Below are 18,876 nucleotides of genomic sequence, written 5' to 3' on the forward strand. Positions count from 1 at the left end.
CACCACACCCGGCTAATTTTTGTATTTTTAGTAGAGATGGGATTCTCCTTCCTCAGCCCCCCGAGTAGCTGGGATTACAGGCGTCTGCCACCACACCCGGCTAATTTTTGTATTTTTAGTAGAGATGGGGTTTTACCATGTTGGCCAGGCTGGTCTAGAACTCCTGACCTCAGGTGATCCACCCGTCTTGGCCTCCCAAAGTGCTGGGATTACAGGCGTGAGCCACCGCGCCTGGCCGACACAGAGGTTTTTAACCTAAGACACAGACCCTGAGACAAAAACTTAGGTGCAAGTAGTTTATTTGGGAAGTGATCCCAGGAAGCACAAAAGGTGGGGTGGGGGGGCGTGCTCATGAGTATGTTACTGCTGTGGGTGACGGGTGGCTCGGTCTTGCTGAGGACCCTTGAGAGAACACAAAGACGACCCCTCAACATTGTCCCACTGAGAGATGGGGCAGCTGAGGTGTTTACCTTTCCTCTCCCATCTTTCACTGATTGAGAATTGTCCTTCGGGGCATAAAATTTCAGGTATTTTCAAAATGCCATGCAGGTGGGCTAAACAAGCTCCTACAGCCCCTGGAGAAAGCCACCGAGAGGAAAAGCAAAGAACGAGGAGTTTTGGGGTGGGAAGCTGTCAGTGCTGCAGGTAAACTCGGGTAGTCTGAAGACGATGGGGCAGGGCAGCCACAGCACCTACTGCCATGGCGACTTGGCCACCGTTATAAGTAGATGCAACTGTACAACCAAGGATAGCCAAGGGTGGACCTGAGCCCCCTCTCCAGAAATTCTGCCTTACTTTAGAATGGGGTGAACAGCAGGGAAAATGAACATTTTTCTTTGCTTTTTCTCCTCCCTCCTTTCTTTTTTCTAGATAAGCCAGCCAGCCAACTGCTTATGAGGATAAGGAGAAACTGGGGCAAAGTTTAAGGATGTCGCAAAGTCTGGGTGGCCTTCAGTCCATGAAAGAGAACACATCTGTTCTATCTCAGGCTGAGGTCATCTGCATCCTCATCAATAAGCTGACTGAGCACTCATTACCTGCCAGACACGGTGCCTACATGCTCTAAATGCACGGTCTCGTTTATTCTCAGCAACTTTCCGAGGTAAGTGCTGTTAGCATTCCCATTCCACAGAGGAACAAACTAAGGCTCTGAGAAGAAGTAATTTGCTCAAGACCTCACAGCCTGGGATCATGGGTATGAATCATCTGGGTGAATGATGAGGCCAAATCCCAAGTCCATGTTTATGACACTTAGAAATAACCATTTAAATGTCCTTTGAAGGGTCAAAACCATTTAGAGGTTTTATCTCTTTCTTACAATCTTCAAAGAAGTTTAACACCTTATAATAAATATCTCACAGATAACTCAGGTCACTTAGTGAATATTAGTTGAATTGCTTTTGTATTAGATCCTACCTGCAGCCAAAATATAAATCTATGTTACCCTCCAGCTCAAATATCTTCCATGGCTCCCCATTGCCGTCAAGAGACAATTTAAACTCGTTACTATGGACTTTTTACTCCAAGTCCTTGAGATCCATCTGTGCCACCTCCCCAGCTTCCATCCTCTTATCCGTTCTCCTCACAGTCTCACTTCAGCCATGCTAAGCTACCTGCCATTCTCTCTGTGGACCCTGGGCTCTTGCACTTGCTGTTCTTCTGGGAGCCCTTTTGTCCAACGCTTATTCATTCTGTGTGAGTTAACTCAACTGTCACCTCCCCAAAGTGGCCAACCTCCACCCACTGTGGTCTTGCGCCAGTGCCTTCCCCTGAGTCCCATGACACCCTGCATTTGCTTCTCTTACATTGTATTATTATTATCTTTTTGCCTGCCTGTCTCTCCCACAGACATGAAAGCAAGCTTTTATGTACTTAGGTTGGATTTCAACCTTGGCTCTGCCATGTGTGTTCTTGGGCAAAGTTGTTTTTTTCTCTGTGAGCCTTAGTTTCCTCAGCTGCCAAATAAGCAGTGAACAAAGTTAAGTCATGTGACACACAATACCTGGCATATAGTGAGGTTCAATGTTAGCTTTTTTTATCTAAGCATCTTCAGGGCCAGTCTTTGGACCAAACATGCTGTTGATGCTCAGTGAAGTGGTAGCTCTACCTGGACCAGTGGTTTTCAAATTTTCTCCTTCATTGGAACCTCCTGAGAGGCTGCTAAAACACAGGTTACTGGGTCCCACCCCAAGAGTTTTTGATTCTGCGGGTATGGAGTGGGGCTTGAGAGTTTGCATTCCTAACATGTTCTCAGGTGGTGCTGAGGCTGCTGGTCCTGGGACTGTACTTTTAGAACCACTGGGCTGGTTACCTGGGAAGGGTAGATGTCTGGTTAGGGTGATCAGACATTCAGAGCTAAAACAAATTCACACTAGAGGATAAGGCAATCCACAATGGGTGTGGCCACAGGATATTTGTTTAGCAATTTATCCATTCAACCAATATTTGTTGAGTATCTACCATGTCCAGGCATTGTGCTAGACACTGACAATAGAACAATGAATGAGCAAGACAAGAAGGTTCAGATCTTGATAAGTTCACATTCTAGTGGCACTGCTTTGGAAGGTGGGGGCCGTCATTACACAAATCCCATGGGTGTGAATTGAAGGGACACAGTTAGTTTGGGGAATGGTTAGCCTTAAAGCCACTGATACCAATAATGGCTTTACTGTCTACTGTATCATTGTATTGCCTTCTCAACATGATTTCACCAAAATGATTCATTGAAACTGATTATGGTATTCCCATAATCCCCTTGCCTGGAACTGCATCCATCATTCAGCACAGTTTTAGGATGAAGTCAACCCATGGAACATGGCAGAATGGAGTGTCAGAGAACCAGAGCCAGGCTATGAGACTTAACACCAGTTATATGAAACGATACATTTCCTCATTATCGTTGTTAGCTGGAAGAGAGTCTCAGAGAATCAAAGCCAAAGATGTTATACAACACCTATTATATGAAATGATAAATACCCTTATTGTTACGATTATCTGCCAATTCAAGTAGGGGTTTTCTGTTACTTGGTGCTAAAAGTTCCCCATGATAGAATAGCTTGCCTTTCCTAAGTGCTTACAATGTGCCAGCCACTGCACTAAATGTTTGGTATGCACCATCTCACTGCATGCTGGCAGCAACTCCACGAGTAGGCTCTATTATTAGCCCATTGTTGAGGGAGGACACTCAGAGTTTAAATCACTTGCTCTTTAGTTGGGAGTGGAGAAGATGAGAGGTAAGGCTGCTTTGTGGAGCAGGATGGGCCAGTAAGGATTACTTAAATGCATTGCAATGACACCAACTGAAACGTTTTGCAATCACACAATCTTCCTTGAGCTTCTTCCAAGATAGAGCAGATAAGGATGGAAACACAAACCAACCAACCTTATCTTCATTTGGAGGACTGAGAATCATAGAAGGCAACTGACTTGCCCAGTTCAGCTTTCTCGTTCTAGTTCTCCTAATTAAACTTGACTGCTTTCTAGAAGTTAATCAACAAATACACTCTCAGGCTGCTTTGGCCCAGTTTCCCGGTTAGGCAATCAGGGAAAAAGGGCTAGGCATTGTAAAACCCCAGGTCCTGCAGCTCCCCCACGTGGCTGCATTTTGACAAAAGCAAGCTTCTGAGAGAGTAGATCACGTAAGGAACCAGCCCTTCCATGGCTGTCATTAGCAGAAGTGCAGCTGGGGGCCATTTTGTCAAGAAGTGCTTATTTGGAAAAACAAAACAAAACAAAAAATGAAAAAAAAAAAAAAAATCTATACAGGTGCATGCCAGTCCCCCGGTAATGAAATGTAACAAAGGAAGCACTTAAGTTCAGTGAGGGAAATACAGCTTTAAATTACAGATTGTACCCAGAGCACTTTATAAACGGTAATGTGTGATAATGTATTATCCTTACTTCTGTGAAATTGTGGACTGCAACTTCTGCCGGGGCCAGTTAAAGGGCCAGGAGATGGAGAGGGTTGCGTGAATGCCATTCAAGAAAAGGGCAACAGAGGCTAAGGGGTTAAACTCCCCAGAAAACCAATTTATGCAAAGGGCTGGATCCTGACCGGCATTCTGCACTAAAGATCTGAATTACAAATTTAGAGAATTTGCTGCTCGGTAAGTAATTTCTTTTCTTCCTAATGGAGACTATAATTTCCAGTGGGCCGGTGCCACTTAATTTGCACTGATAGAGTGAACAAAATCTTGACCACGGAGAAGCCTAATTCTACTCACCGTGCAAAATTGCCCTTTAAAAAGGCTTAAAGAGGGACATTCAAAGGATGGTTAAAACCAACCCCTATAATCTTACATTGCTGCAAAGCACATTCCCTAGTTTCCCCTGTGTTTGTATCTTGGGTTAGTTAATAATTGGAATTAGTTCTTTTTCCTTCCCTGTAAGGTAGGTAGTGTAGCTGATTTTATTTTTTTAAGGTATAAGATCTACTTGGGATTATCTGACATAAGAAATAACATTGTCAGATTCAGATTGGAGAAATCTGCACCCTTCCAGGCACTCTGAGAAGGGAAAGGACACAGATTCTTGGTTTCTTGAAATCTAATTCTTTAAGACACTTAGAATCTAATTTAATGAGACCCCAGTGCTTCTGGACTGTTTGCAAACAGACAAGAACAATCTAGTGTGTGTGAAGTGGGAGGAGGGAGGGGAGAGAGTGTGTGTTTAAACCCCTGATAATTTATCTAAAAAGCAAGGGGATACATACAACAAAGACCAGGAATTTCACTTTCTTTCTCTTTTCCTTCCCATTTTGGTTTCTATTTTGTTATGTGCCTCCTTCTCCAAGACAACGAATGCAGGAAGGACCTCACTGGCTGCTGGGAACAACTGCCCTTTTGAATGAATTCTTTTATGGTTACCAGTCAAAAAGTCACCGTCAGCTGGAACTGGAAGGGAGGTGTGTGTGTGTGTGTGTGTGTGCGCGTGTGTGTGTGTACGCGCAGTGGCAGCCATTTCAGCTCAATAGCTCCATTCCTGGAAAGGCCACTTCTTCTTGACATGGGAGAAGACACACTTCCCTGTGTACCTAAAAATAAATAATAAGTAAATAAATAATAATAATAAGAAAGTCATTTTTGCTCCCTCCCCCAGGTCTTAATTCTTCTTTCTCTTTTAATCATGTTTTTCTGTGTGCCACCTTTGCTTTGCTTATTTCCCCCACTGCTTGTTCTGTCTGATGGCATTTCTGGGAATCTGTGTCCTAAAGGCTTTCTTGGGTTTATTGGTGAGTTTCAGCTCTTTTTCACTCTAGTTCTGCATAAGGGGTGGGCATTAGTATTTATTGTAAATGCATTGGAAATGGGATCTCAACAACAATAACACACACACACACACACAAACACAAAAATGGAGTATTAACTTGTTTCTTAAGCCATAACTGAATTTAGAGTTCTCCCAGTAAGTCATGCGCTTTACTTCTCTCTGGCATTTCTTGCTTTTTTAAAAAAAAGCAATTTCATTAAAAGACTATTCTCTTTTTTGGCCCAGGAGCATAGGAAACCAGTTATAAAAACTGTTGGCATGCTTTGCAGAGAGATTCTCAGCAAAGAGGCTTTTTTTTTGTTTTATTTTGTTTTGTTTTGTTTGAGTGGGGGCTTGGGAGGGCTCCATCTGCCTTAGTAACTGGCTAAGTAACTGGCCTGGGCTACTCAGTCTGTTTCTCTTCCTCCTGCCTAGGGGCATTTCTTATCTGGGCAAAAAGCCCCTGTACCCAGCGAGGTGAAACTTGCAAATGATACTGTCACCTTCCTCAATGGACTGCAGCTCAGGAGCTCACCAAAGGTTGCAGCAGACAACCCCCACGGTGTTTGGAGACAAAGGAATAGCAGCTGCCTGGTTTCCTTGAATCACCCCGTGCTCTGACGATGGCAGTGATGGGCCTCCCACCAATGGCTTCCCCAAGTGCTGTTTTCCTGCTTCATGCCAAGTTAAGCATTCTGATACTAAGCGGCACGAGATAGTTCTCAACTGGGTGAGGCACAGGTGTGAGTAATCTCGAGGTATGGTCAGGAGGTTTGAAAAAACTAACCCAGCTGCAAGGAAAAGACCTCTGGTCTTTATTGGAAACACGAATTTGACCTGTCCAAGCTGGGAGCTAATAGGCCCCAGCAGCTCAGGATCCCCTCCTCACTTACGCTTGGGTTTTGAGTGATACCATATTTTTCTGAACACATTTTCCAAATGCCTATTTGCCAAAGCCGTGGTGTAATTTGCCTAAGCAGCAAACTTGTCCTTAGAGTCGAGGTCCATCCACATCAGGAGAGTATATTCAATGTTTATCTCCGATCAATGTGTGATGAATTGCATATGAGATAGATTTGTGTGAGCCAATGTGTGTGTGTGGATCTGTGTTAGTTACATGTGTTTATTTGCATGTATGTAAATATGACTGTGTGAGTGCATGGATCTATTCCTGCATGATATATATTTATATATATGAATATGTGCATATATATGCAAATATGGGTATAAATATGTATCTGAACATATAGGTGTGTATCTGTAGTGGACACTGTCAATGCACTCATCCTCCAGTTACTTAGGCATCCCAGCTTCTCAGCTCAATGGGGGCCGCTTGCCCATCCCCCCACCTCCCAGGGCAGCCCAGAATTCACCTACCAGGGTTCAAAGGCTGGCTCCCTTGACTCAAGGTCAAACTATCTGGGTGGTGCAATTCATGCTCCAGTTGAAACCAACCCTTGCCCAACTCTTTTCTTGCCCTCTTCTTTTTCTCTTACTCCCTTTCCCTCGGAGCCCACTCTCAGTATATCCTATGCGTCCAAATCCCCATCTCAGGCTCTGCTCCAAGCAACCTGGCCTAAGACAGCACTATTCTATACATGCATGTGTGTGTACATGCAAACATACAACTGCACACATTTGTGTGTGTGTGTGCCCATATACAAGGAAATCCGGGAAGATCTGGGAGAGAATGATCTTCCAAAGAAGATAATGGAGAAAGAGTATGGATTTTATAATGTAGAAGTTAGAGTCATCTCAGATATAGAGTGGGACTGCTTTGAAGTTGAAAATTAAAAGATACTTTAGAAGTAAATGTATTTTTTATTAAATCAGAAAAAGAAAGATACAGTTTACATGACTGTCAGTCAATCATATGCTACTTTGAATTACATTTTAATAGACTCAGGGTCCTATTTACTCCTTTGTACAGGTATTAAAAACAACTCAGGTATTTGAGAAGTCTTCTGTAAATTTTTATTAACTGAGGTTATGGGGAGGGTTTTATCAGAGCACATCCTGAGAACATTAGGAATGACAGACACACTTGAGATAAGTGTCAGACGGAACAGATGAAGCGAGCCCCTCAGCCATCTGAGAAACATTAATAATGTAAGATAGCAGAGACCAAATCTTTGTTAGGGATACAGTATTACAGGATAAAAATGGGGACCTTGCCGCCCCCTTGTGTTGCAAAATAACCGTGCAACTTCCTTTATTTTTTATTTATTTTTTTTTTTTAAGTTGTAATCTTTGCCGTTGTCACTGAGCCTCAAAAGCAATTGTTTTCCCAAATCATTTTAAGCCCTCCCCAGTCAATCTTTTCCCTCTCATCAATAACTTACAAGGACCCTATTTGAAAAACAACGCTTATTCATTCCTTTTTCTATACCCCACACATTCCGTTCTAGGAAATTGGCAACCACCCAACACAGCCCGGGTTCTCCCTCCTTGAGATGTGAATTTAAACAAATGGATTTTCGTCTCCCTTCTTCAAGCTTAGAGGATAAGCACGCATTTACTACAACGCTTAATTCCTTCTAGCAGCATTTCTCTTCTATAACTTACTTGCCACTGCCTTTTTTTTTTTTTGATAGAATCTTGCTCTGTCGCCCAGGGTGGAGTGCAATGGTGCAACTTCGGCTCACTGCAACCTCCACCTCCTGGGTACAAGCGGTTCTCGTGCGTTGGGCTCCCGAGTAGCTGGGACTACAGGTGTGTGCCACCATGCCTGGCTAATTTTTGTATTTTTAGTAGAGACGGGGTTTCATGATGTTGGCCAGGCTAGTCTTGAACTCCTGACCTCAGGTGATCCACCTGCCTCGGCCTCCCAAAGTGCTGAGATTACAGGCGAGAGCCACCACGCCCGGCCACCACTGCCATTTTCATCACTTAACCCGAACACATTCCTCTATTCCCTCCCTTTCCTGCTTGGTGATCATCGACTCTTCTGACCCAACTAGGTGACCTGCTAAACCATCTTTACTGTTATTTGCCAGAAAAGACTGGACCAGAGACGTAAATAATACACCTCAATATACAACAGCTCGGGCTTAATTTCTAGGCAGAATTTCATTTGCTGGCCATCAGAAGAATATATACATGGAGCGTGTTTGGGGAGGAGATGGAGTAAGGAGAACACATCTTGGTGGCAGGAGAACCTGGTGGGAACCGTGCTGATTTGTTTACTTGGATTTGCCAACTGGTCCGATGGATACTGGGTCTGTTTGCACTTGAGCATCCAACATCCGCTTTGGTCCCTGGAGAAAAACAGAAAGACGTGGCAGCCTATTGAAGCTCTGTAATGTCAACAGCAACAATGGCCATTTATGTAGCACTTACTCTGTGCTAGGTGTTGGGCTAAATTAATATATCTCATTCCTCAGTGCTGGGTAAGAGAATGGTCTCCAGTCAGATGCCCGGGTTCGATACCCAGTTACATGACTTTCTAGCTTTGTGAAATCTTGGACAAATTACTTATCATCTCTTTGCGCTTTGGTTTCTTTATCTTTAAAATGGAAATGACAAACTTATCTCAGAGGGTTGTTCCCAAGATAAAGTGAGTTCATGCTTATAATGTACTTAGTACCTAGGGGGTACTAATTCTACCTCACTTTAGCTCCCTCCCCAGTTACCATCTAGGTTCACCACCCTGTTTTATTTTCTTCTTTTTTTTTTATTATACTTTTAAGTTCTAGGGTACATGTGAGCAATGTGCAGGTTTGTTACATATGTATACATGTGCCATGTTGGTGTGCTGCACCCATTAACTCGTCATGTAACATTAGATATATCTCCTAATGCTATCCTTCCCCCAACCCCCCATCCCAAACCCTATTTTATTCTCTCTCAGAACATACCACTCTCTGAAATGATCTTATTATCTAATTTATTTGTCTAACATCTGTCTTCTACACCAGATTGGAAGCTGCAAGGATTCTGCGTGTCTCAGTGCCTTGCAGGTTCCTAGCACATGGTACCTAGCCTTAACATTGACTGAATGTGGGTGAAGGAATGTTGTCAGGCAGATACAATTATTTTATTTTATTTTTTTGAGACAAAGTCTTACTCTGTTGCCTAGGCTGAAGTACAGTGGTGGGACTATGTTCACTGTAGCCTTGAAGTCCTGGGCTCAAATGATCCCCCCACGTCAGCCTCCCCAGTAGCTTGGACTACAGGTGCACACCACCAAACTCAGCTAATTTTAAAATTTTTTTTGTAGAGACGGGGTCTCAATTTGTTGTCCAGGATGGTCTTGAACTGCTGGGCTCATGTGATCCTTCTACCTTGGCCTCCCAAAGTGATGGAGTTACAGGTGTAAGCCACTATGCCTAGCCTGAGTACTATTATTATTATTATTACTTTACCGTTTCTGTCAAGTATAACTTATAAGTAGTAAAGTTAACCTTTTCTGTATTTGGTTCTATGAGGTTAGACCAACACAAATAGCCCCCTAAAACCACCATCCAAATCAACATGTCACATGGTTCTGTCCCCCCTCAGATCTTTCTTGTGCCTTTTGTGGTCAACCGCTCCCCACCGCAGACCCTGGCAAGCACCGATCTGTTTTCATCCCTAGAGTTCTGCCTTTGCCAGGATGTCATATCATGGGATCCTAGAGTATACACAGCCCTTCAGACTAACTTCTTTCATGTAGCATAGTGGATGTGCGATTCATCCACCTTGCTGCATGGATCAATTGTGGGCCTCCTTTTATACTATAAGACAGTATAGGGTAGTACAGTATAAGATTTATATATTGTATACAGTATATATATATATATACACACACACATAGAGAGAGTATAGTATAGAGTAGTATAATAACGTATTGTAGCATAGTATATATAGATAGTATAGTGTAGTATAAGGTAATATAGGATAGTATAATATAGGGTAGTGTATATTTTATAGTATATATAGTATACATATATAGTATAGTCAAGTATGGTAACTATAGCACAGTATAGTTTAGTCCACTGTATAGTATAGTAAATAAAGTATAGCAAAGCATAATGTACAATATAGTATGATATATACAGAACACTATAGTATATAGTATAGGAAAGGGAAGTATAATGTACTATCACAAAGTATGTATGGTCTAGTATATGTACATAGTGTCATATGGTTTAATGCAGTAGAATATACATGATATCGTATAATATGTAATATAGTATATAGAGTGTATTATAGCATAATAAATAGAGTGTAGTTTAGTATACATGATGTATATAGGGCACATATATAGTATATGTATATAGTACATAGACTGTGTAGTGCCCTGTATAATCTAGCATAGTATAGTATATTGTATTTACTACATAGTGTAGTGTAATTTCATGTAATTTACCAAGGAATCAGATTGCTGGTCTTTGAACGCCAGACCTGCCACTTCCTAGCTGGGTGACTTTGGTCAAATTGCTTAACCCTCTACTTAAGCCTTAATTTTACCGTTGATAAAATGGGAATTCACAGGGTAGTTTTGAAGATTAAGTGTTAGTATATGCAATGTACTTTGAACAATCTTTGTCACACAGTAAGTGTGATAAAAGAGTTATGATTATTTTTAGTGGTGGTAGTTGAATTCACTACTTCATTCAACAACATATATTGAGGACCTACTGCAGACAATACATTGTGTTATTAATAGTTTTGGGGCATCAAGAGATGACCAGGACACCGTGAAATACCAAAAGCTTGGGCTCAGGAGTCAGCTGTGGGTTTGGGGATGCTCCATCCCTTTCTGGTTGCATGACCTCTGGCCGGTCCCTCACCGCTGAGAGCCTGCTGCCTCATCTGTGTGAGGTCTTAGACTGCCATCCCACCCGGTCCTCACTGCAGCCCACGAGGTTGACGCCACTGTCGCTCTCAGGCTACAGAGGAGGCTGCTGAAGCCCAGCGAGCCCAAGCCACTTCAGTCAAATTCCTGCCAGTAAGTGGGGTGCCGGCTTCTGTCCCCGATCTCTGAACCCTGAGCTGGGTAAAGGCCATTCCCCAACCCCTCCATTTACCGTGCATTGTAATCGCTTGTTGCTGTGATTAGAGCACAAACTCCCCATGGCACAGCGGTGCCCGACTCATCTCTGCACCTTTACAACCCAGGGCAGGGGCTAACTAAATAATACTCACAAAATAGCCTTTCCTGACTAGTTAAACCTCACAAGCATTGCTCTAAGGGCATTGTACACTACTGCCCTTCATCTTCATGCTAACCCTGTGACGTCAGCACCATTCACTTCATTGATCTGGTATCTGAAACTCAGCAAGATGACAGGTCCAAGCTCACTCAGCCACTAGATGAGAGCTAGGTTCAAGTCCAGGAACAAGCTTCTTGCAAGTGTCTAGAGCCTGGTCTCAGGCTGGCCACGGGTGGCAGCCATCCATCCTGCCTCTGTTTGCCCAGCGTGCCTTGCCGTGGATCCTGGTTCACCCAGGCTCCACCCTGCCCAGTCAACTCACCTCTATTAAAGCTTACTTCCCCGAGGTTTCCATCCTTTAGGTTCCATGAGCTTGATCTTGGGGCTTGATGGACTAAACAGCAAACTCAGATGGCCAAGTGGCTGCCACGGGCCTGAACTTTGCAATAGATGAACTTGTACAAGCATTTTCTTCATTTATTAAAAAAAAATTAGATGCTGGCATTTAAAAATTAGGTATTTGCTCTTAAAAATTCTCCACCTTTGTTATTTTCTCTTGACTAAATGGACAGGTCCTGCCACAATGGGTCTGCAGTCCCCCAAGGTAACATGTGGCTGGTGCTGAGGAGGGGCACCCCCTTTAGGTGGGCACCTGCCCTTCAGGTAGCCACAGACCACACCTGACTCACTGGCCTCATACATACACATGCCCTTCTGGCCTCACTGGGACTCCACCTTGGAGGCCAGAGACATAAATGCAACCCCTTTCCTGCCTTATATACCAGGACTACACGTCACAGTTCACAAGGCCAAACCAGACCCATTCTCTTACCTGTTCTCTCTCCAGCCCAGTGAGGTGGACAGTGATTATTATTCACCCTATTTTACAGATGCAGAAACTGAGGCTCCAAGATGACCTAGGACTAGGTCATGCGGTAACGGCCTGGCCACTTTGACTTGGAATCTGGCCCTCAGCTCACCTGTTGTCCCCGGCTCTCTTCTGTTCACTGCCCGCTCTTTCCAACCCTCGGTCTCAGGCTCCTTGCAGTGACTGCGCTGATTGTCACAAGCCTCGGTTCAGCCCACACCAGTGTGGACAGATGTCTTCCCTTTTCAAGCCTCCATTTGTTCACCTGCTAAACCTGCCTGCAGATTGCGCTGCACACAATCTAGCACTTCAGGGGCTCATGAAAATGGGAAAGGGGAAGGCTGGGAAAGGGCCATCAAAGAAGTGGTGCTTAGGGGAAGGGAGAAACCCAGTCTTCCATCAATCAGAATAGTTTCACTTTTATCATATGTGTCTGTGTGTGCGTATATGCATATATCCGCACACACACACACACACACCCAGGTTTTGTGACATTTTCTTTTGTAAACAAAAAAGTCCCTTTGCTCAAAAAGAAAGGAAAATGTTTTCAAACAGTTGGACTTTGTGAATGCCAAGGGCTTCCTTCCAGTTCTTTTCAGATTTTTGAAAACCAAGTGGGTTGCTCTCAGTTAGAACTCAAGTAGCATGATGGAGAAGGAGGAAAAAAGGACCTGACTAACGAGGACGTCACTGTGAGACAAAGATCATGCAGGGATCGGCCTGCGGTGTGTCTCATTTCCTGTGGGTAACAGGCACCACAATAGTTCTGTGGGTGGTGACAGGCTCGGCTGCCAGCATTCCCCTCCCAGGAAGGCGGTCAGGCAACCCTGGGGAATGTGTCCAGCTTGAAAGTCTTCGAGGCTTGGTCTTTGGAAAGCGGCAGGGAAGCCCCCCTCCGTCCTCCATCATTGCTGGAGGCCTTGTGACACTGGGACGATGCAGGACTTGGGGTCTAGGGGGCCTGAGCTGAATGCTGCCTCTGTCTCTGACAACCTGTGGAATGTTCAGCAAAAGACACAGCTTCTTGGAGGCCTGGCTTATGTGTCTGGGAGGTGTGGCAGAAGCAGTCCCAGCCTGAAGGGATGCTGCCATCCTAAAGAGATGAGGTCTGTAAAGGAGTGTGGTCCCAGAGGAGGGACTCGGTGTCTAGAACTGTAATTAGTGTCTCAAACCTGTCCACTTCTTGTCACTTCTTCAGGAATCACCAGGCCAATCTCCATCAGCTCTCCCAAGAAATATGACCTGTATTAACTAGCTCCTAATGACCTTCAACAGCCATTCTCCACCACAGCAGCAAAATAAAATCTTCGAATGTTATCAACAGGGGCCAAGACTTCTTACTTAATATCTGTGAGTAGCTTCCCTGCTCAGATAGGATTATGTCTGCATTCCTTGCACAGCCCGTACAGCCTGCATGAGGAGGTCCCCGCCCACGGCTCCAATCTTACTTCCATCATTCTCCCCCTACCCTACCTCTCCACCCTCAGCAACCACGGCCTTGTTTCTCTTCCTGAAATGTACTAAGCTCACTAAGCTCATTCCCACCCCCGTGCCTTTGCCAGGGCTGTCCCCTCCTCCTGGAAGAAAGAGCCTTGCTCTCTTCCTGTCTGGCACCTTTAACCTTTCCTGTCTCATCTCAGATGTATCTCCTCAGAGACAATTTTGGGATCCACCGATTAAAAGTAGCACACCCCGCCCCCAGACACACTCAGGCAAAAGTAGCACACACCCCCCCATCCATACTCAGGCAAACTCTATCGCGGGACCTTGTTTATTTCCCTCAGTGATCTCCCAGACCTACAATTTTGTTGGCAAATTTTGTCTTTAATTTTGTAATTTTAACGTTGTAGTTTTAATAATTTTAACCTTGTTTTTAAACTTATCTACTAATACTTTTTAGCTGCATGCTTCCCCTTCGAATATGAACCCCTGATGTCAGGGACCCTGTCCCCTTTGTTTGCTGAATATACCTCCAGCGCCTAGTTCAAGGCTTGGCACATGTTTCTGCAAAGGGCCAGTTGGCAAAAATTTTAAGCCTTATGAGCCATGCAGTCTAGTCAACTAGTCAACCCAACCAGTCAACCCTAGTCATGCAACTAGTCAACCCTCATGTTTTTGTGTGAAAGCAGCTAGACAACATGTAAATGAATGAACATGGCAATGTTCCAATAAAAATTTATTTATAGAAACAAGGGTTGCATTTTTAATACCCCTGGTCTAGCTCACTGCCAGGATTCTAAATATTCTACAAATATTTGTTAAGTGAATGACCAGATTATTAGAAATCATCTGAACTTTTCCATACCATCTTTCTTTTTCAGCCTTCGTACCTATTGTAGAGGCTGGCTTCTATTAAAATAATTAGAAGCCACAGTGTAAATCATTCCCTGGGTGGTGTTCATTTTAAATGAATGAATAAATCATGGGTTAAAAACGTGTAAACTAAGACCAGGCATGGTGGCTCATGCCTGTAATCCCAGCACTTTGGGAGGCTGAGGCGGGCGGATCACTCGAGCTCGGGAGTTCGAGACCAGCTTGAGCAACATGGAGAAACCCGTCTCTACTAAAAATACAAAATTAGCCAGGCGTGGTGGCGCATGCCTGTAATCCCAGCTACTCGGGAGACTGAAGCAAGAGAATCGCTTGAACCCGGGATGCGGAGGTTGCGGTGAGCCGAGATTGCACCATTGCACTCCAGCCTGGGCAACAAGAGCGAAACTCCATCTCAAAAAAACAAAAGAAGTAAACTACAAGAAATCCAAATACTTTCCCCAACATCTTTCCTGGTCCTTTAGGAACTTGCTACTCAAAGTGTGATCCCTGGATCAGCAGCTTTTGTAGCATCAATCAGGAGCTTTGTGGCATCCCAAGTTGGACCCCAAAACTACTCAATCAGAATGTGTGTTAATAGATCCCTGGGTGATTCGTGTGCACAGTACATTTTGAGAAGACTTGCGTTGGCAAATCCAATACAGCCTCACCCACTTGGGTGAAGTCCTTCTCTCAGGGCTACAAACTGGCATTCTTGCTTTACATCAACATCTGCCTTCCTCACATCAATGAAACCACTGCAAGGACTACATGATTAGTTTGAAGACTGCACTACACCCAGAAAGAAGAAGCTAATAAGGAACTATTACATCTTGTGGGATAGGAGAGAGAAGCTATGAGTGTGAATGTGCTTTAGATGGAATGCTTAATAAATATTTTTGGAAGAAAAATGAAAGAAGGAAGAAGGGAAAAAAGGAAGGAAGGAAGGGAAGAAATTTCAGTGGTTTCCATATGTAAATCAAATGATTAGTGGATACCCACTTTCAGTGTCTCCATTCTCAAAGTGGGTATTTTTTAAACATGCAAGTAGAAATTGTTAAGTGTGGTTAAAGTTGAGTACAATGTTTTATCGAAGGGTAACAATTTCAAGTAATGTATTCCAACTTTATATATCATATTTTGGTATCTATTATTTTAATCTCATCCATTCATTCCTTTGTCTATCAAGCACCTGCTGTTTATGCAGTCCTATTTCAAGTCCTTGAGATACAGCCTTGAACCTGAAAGGTGGTGCCCTGCCCTCATGGAGCTGGGAGTCCAGTGGTGAAGAGGGGCTTCCATTTTGTAGAGGAGAGTAAAATAAGCACATCTAAAACACCTCCCCACCAGTCTGCCTAAAATTGCAAGCAGTAAAAAAATTTCCTCTGCATCTAGCAGCCATTGATTCTATAGTCCATGGAGTAACACAATTGTGCATTTATACCCCTGTTAAATTAAATAAGCAGGAGGCCTTTAGCCTGAGGCAGTCTCCTTACTCCCAGTGTCTATGTAACAAACTGCAACCACATTTAGTAAGTAAACAAACCAAAACCTACCTTATGAGTATCCTTTTTTTTGTAACAAATAGCCATGTTGCAGCCAATCACAAATAGCTGAGCTTCAGCCAATCACAGGCAACCAATTGATCAGACCATTCCCAAATAAGGCAGACAACTCATCACATCGTGACCAAATAAGGCAAACACCTCATTGTACCCAATCAGATAAGTTTTCTACTTTGCTTCCATGTTTGGCCTATAAAATCTTACTGCTCATGCCACTGGGCAGTGCTCTCTGAACCTCTTTGGGTTTTGAGTGCTGCCCAATTCATGAACTGTTCTTTGCTCACAACATAAAGTGTGTTTAAATTTGATTTGTCTAATTTTTTTAACACGTCAAATTGGTATAATATAATGTAAATAAAATCAGCCAATAATGCATTCATTCATTCATTCATTCAACAAATATTACCCAGAGCATCTGCTACGCACAAGACACTGAACAAAACTGATGATGATGTTGATGGTGATGATGACGATTACTTCTACATGCTGATTGCTCCCTAGGTCTCAGGCACTGTGCTAGGTGACTAGATGCAGTATCTCACCTGTTTCATGAACTCTATGAGTTAGGCATCATTATGTATGAACAGATAAAAAATCTGGTTCAGAGAGGCAATAATTTGCTCAAGGTCTCAGCTTGTAAAATGGAGAAGGATTGAACCTGCTGGAAGTCACATAGCAGTTCAAAAACCCTGAGTGATAGACCCGGGATCCCAGTGTGAAGAGCCACATGTAGAATTTGAAAAACTGACTGGGGCAGATGGTGTTGGGGAAGGAGAGAGCCCAGAAAGAAGAGGCAAAAAAAATCCACCTACCAGGCCTTTAAAGAAGCCCCCAAGGGACTGCTGCCGCTTCTCAGGTCTCTTTTGGAGCTTGTCCCCATTCTGCAGTGAGTTCGTGTCCACCGTGGCCTGCTCTGTGCACTGGGCTGGTTCTTTGGCTTCCTGCTTGTTGCTCTTCTGCTTGTTCATCTCGGCTGCTGACTTCTTGTCCTTCGAGGAGCCCTCTTTACCCTTCTGTGGTGCTCCTGTTGGTTCAGGCTCTGGCGGTGTGATAGTCTTTTCTGTGGAGTCTGATGTCTACAGCAATTTCAAACAAAGTACATTTTTAGTGGCTGCAGGACAACTCTCAATAGCAAGGGAATAAATATGTTAAAACAGAGATGTTCAAATGTTGGGTGGTATCTACATTTTCATGAATCCTAGGTGAAATGAATATAAAAAAAGGTAAAATGTGCACTTATGAAGTCATGGTGGGGACATTTATTTAGTTATCTAATAATTCATTAATACATTTTATGCTATCCCAGAAAGCACTCTTTATCCCTTATTCTGGAACCAGAACTTGGCTTTTCCTTGGGGAAACACCCTTCTTCCTCATCTACTCCGTGTGGTCCAGGCAAACTATTTCCACCTCCAGACAAGAGCATGTGACTTAGGCCTGACTAATCAGAGCATTGTATATGATTGGCCAGCTGTGATTGGCTCAGCATAGCCAAATGCAGATAACACTGGAGCTAATCTCAGAGCTTTGCTGAAATGAGAGAGAGGCTGGTTCCCTTTCTGTTAGATCTGAAGCTGTGAAAATGTAAGACTGGAGCTTCCAGAACCACCAATATTTCTAGGGAAAATCTCCCCGAAAAGGAAGCCAACACAGAGAAAATCACAGCTGAGAAATGGAGAGAGAGAGAGAGAGAGAGAGAGAGAGAGAGAGAGAGAGGGACCAGGCATTGATGGTATCATGCGTGCCTCCTAGATCTAGCTGTTCCTGGAGCCCTTTTATGCTTAAGCCAGCTTTGAAGGGGCTACTCCCACTTGCAACCACATGCGAGTGTTTTCCTGGGGATGCCCATTCTTTTCTTCATAATTACATCTACCCTAATTTTTGGTGTGAAATTGTCCTTTTGCTTCATGAAATGGTGGTAAAAGAGATGATTGTTTTATTAGTTTGGAATGTATATCGTTTTTTGTCAAACTGAAAGGTTTACAATCCCACATGCTTCCAATAATTTGATGAGATGAGGCTGTAAAATCCAAAAATCTAGTAAATGCAGGCTGGGGTAAGAATAACCATGTGGATATCTTATTTCTCCAGCTGCAAAAGCAACAAAGGTCCAAAAAAATATTTCTCCAGTATAAGAAAAGCACCAGTTCAAGCAAGGCTGGCTTTGATGTTGGGGAGAAAATTTAGAGCAGGGGAGACTGAATGTTACATGCCCTGTCCAAAGGGCAACAGTTGCTCTGATCCAGCCAAGAGATACCACGTAGGCTTGCAGCCCCAGTGTGGTCAGAGCTTCTGTTGTTTCAAGACAACCTTGAAATTAAATTTTAAAAAATGCAAAATGTCAACTTTTAAATATTGACTTCAAAAGTTTTAAAGCCCTGATTGTGGCAACTGGCAAACACACTTGACCCACCGGATACATGTGTATAAGCATGATTCATGAAGTTATGTACTGTACCCAGGTAAAAAGTTCTACAACAAGGTAGCAGCTTTGATGGAGAAGGCATCAACTGTAGGAGAACTTTCTTTTCACACCAGTGAATCATGCACGCCCCTTAGAAGTAAGCGGGAAGACAAACAGCAGAGACTCCCCGGTCCAGAAGGCCTCCACCGGTGCTCTTCAGAGGGCAGAAGTCCTTGGAGAAAGAAGCAACAGGCATCCAGTGTACCTTGAGAAGCTCTTCTGTAATATATGTCTTGAACACTTCTGGCAGACCCCAACTGTCAGAGTTGCAGCAAATGCTAAGAT

General features: G+C 43.6%; 1 protein-coding gene and 1 long non-coding RNA gene across 20 annotated transcripts in view, besides 2 other annotated features; one reads left to right on the plus strand and one right to left on the minus strand.

Moving 5' to 3' along the window:
• The window catches only part of BCAS1-AS1 (BCAS1 antisense RNA 1), a 28,093-nt gene extending 21,004 nt beyond the window's left edge, over positions 1-7,089 (plus strand). The window contains exons 2-5 of the long non-coding RNA NR_199019.1: positions 871-1,102; positions 3,940-4,106; positions 4,793-4,903; positions 5,683-7,089. This is a non-coding gene — a long non-coding RNA (BCAS1 antisense RNA 1). The remainder of the gene's footprint in view (positions 1-870; positions 1,103-3,939; positions 4,107-4,792; positions 4,904-5,682) is intronic.
• Positions 2,278-2,572: a silencer, noted in NCBI's record as "tiled region #3819; HepG2 Repressive DNase matched - State 20:ReprD". NCBI's record gives its function as "represses a minimal TATA promoter and a strong SV40 promoter by Sharpr-MPRA in HepG2 cells {active_cell/tissue: HepG2}" and the evidence as "EXISTENCE:reporter gene assay evidence [ECO:0000049][PMID:27701403]".
• The window catches only part of BCAS1 (brain enriched myelin associated protein 1), a 127,054-nt gene continuing 115,226 nt past the window's right edge, over positions 7,049-18,876 (minus strand). For all 19 annotated transcript variants that reach the window (NM_001366297.2, XM_017028111.3, NM_001366295.2 and 16 more), the window contains 2 exons: positions 16,940-17,203; positions 7,049-8,504 (listed from right to left, as the gene is read on the minus strand). In NM_001366297.2, coding sequence (NP_001353226.1) covers positions 8,430-8,504; positions 16,940-17,203 — 339 coding nt within the window. In that variant the 3' untranslated portion in view covers positions 7,049-8,429. The remainder of the gene's footprint in view (positions 8,505-16,939; positions 17,204-18,876) is intronic.
• Positions 12,605-12,704: an enhancer, noted in NCBI's record as "active region_18139". NCBI's record gives its function as "activates an Ori minimal core promoter by ATAC-STARR-seq in GM12878 lymphoblastoid cells {active_cell/tissue: GM12878}" and the evidence as "EXISTENCE:reporter gene assay evidence [ECO:0000049][PMID:35858748]".

The sequence above is a fragment of the Homo sapiens genome, chromosome 20 (genome assembly GCF_000001405.40).
Source record: "Homo sapiens chromosome 20, GRCh38.p14 Primary Assembly".
In the NCBI taxonomy this organism is placed as follows: domain Eukaryota; kingdom Metazoa; phylum Chordata; class Mammalia; order Primates; family Hominidae; genus Homo; species Homo sapiens.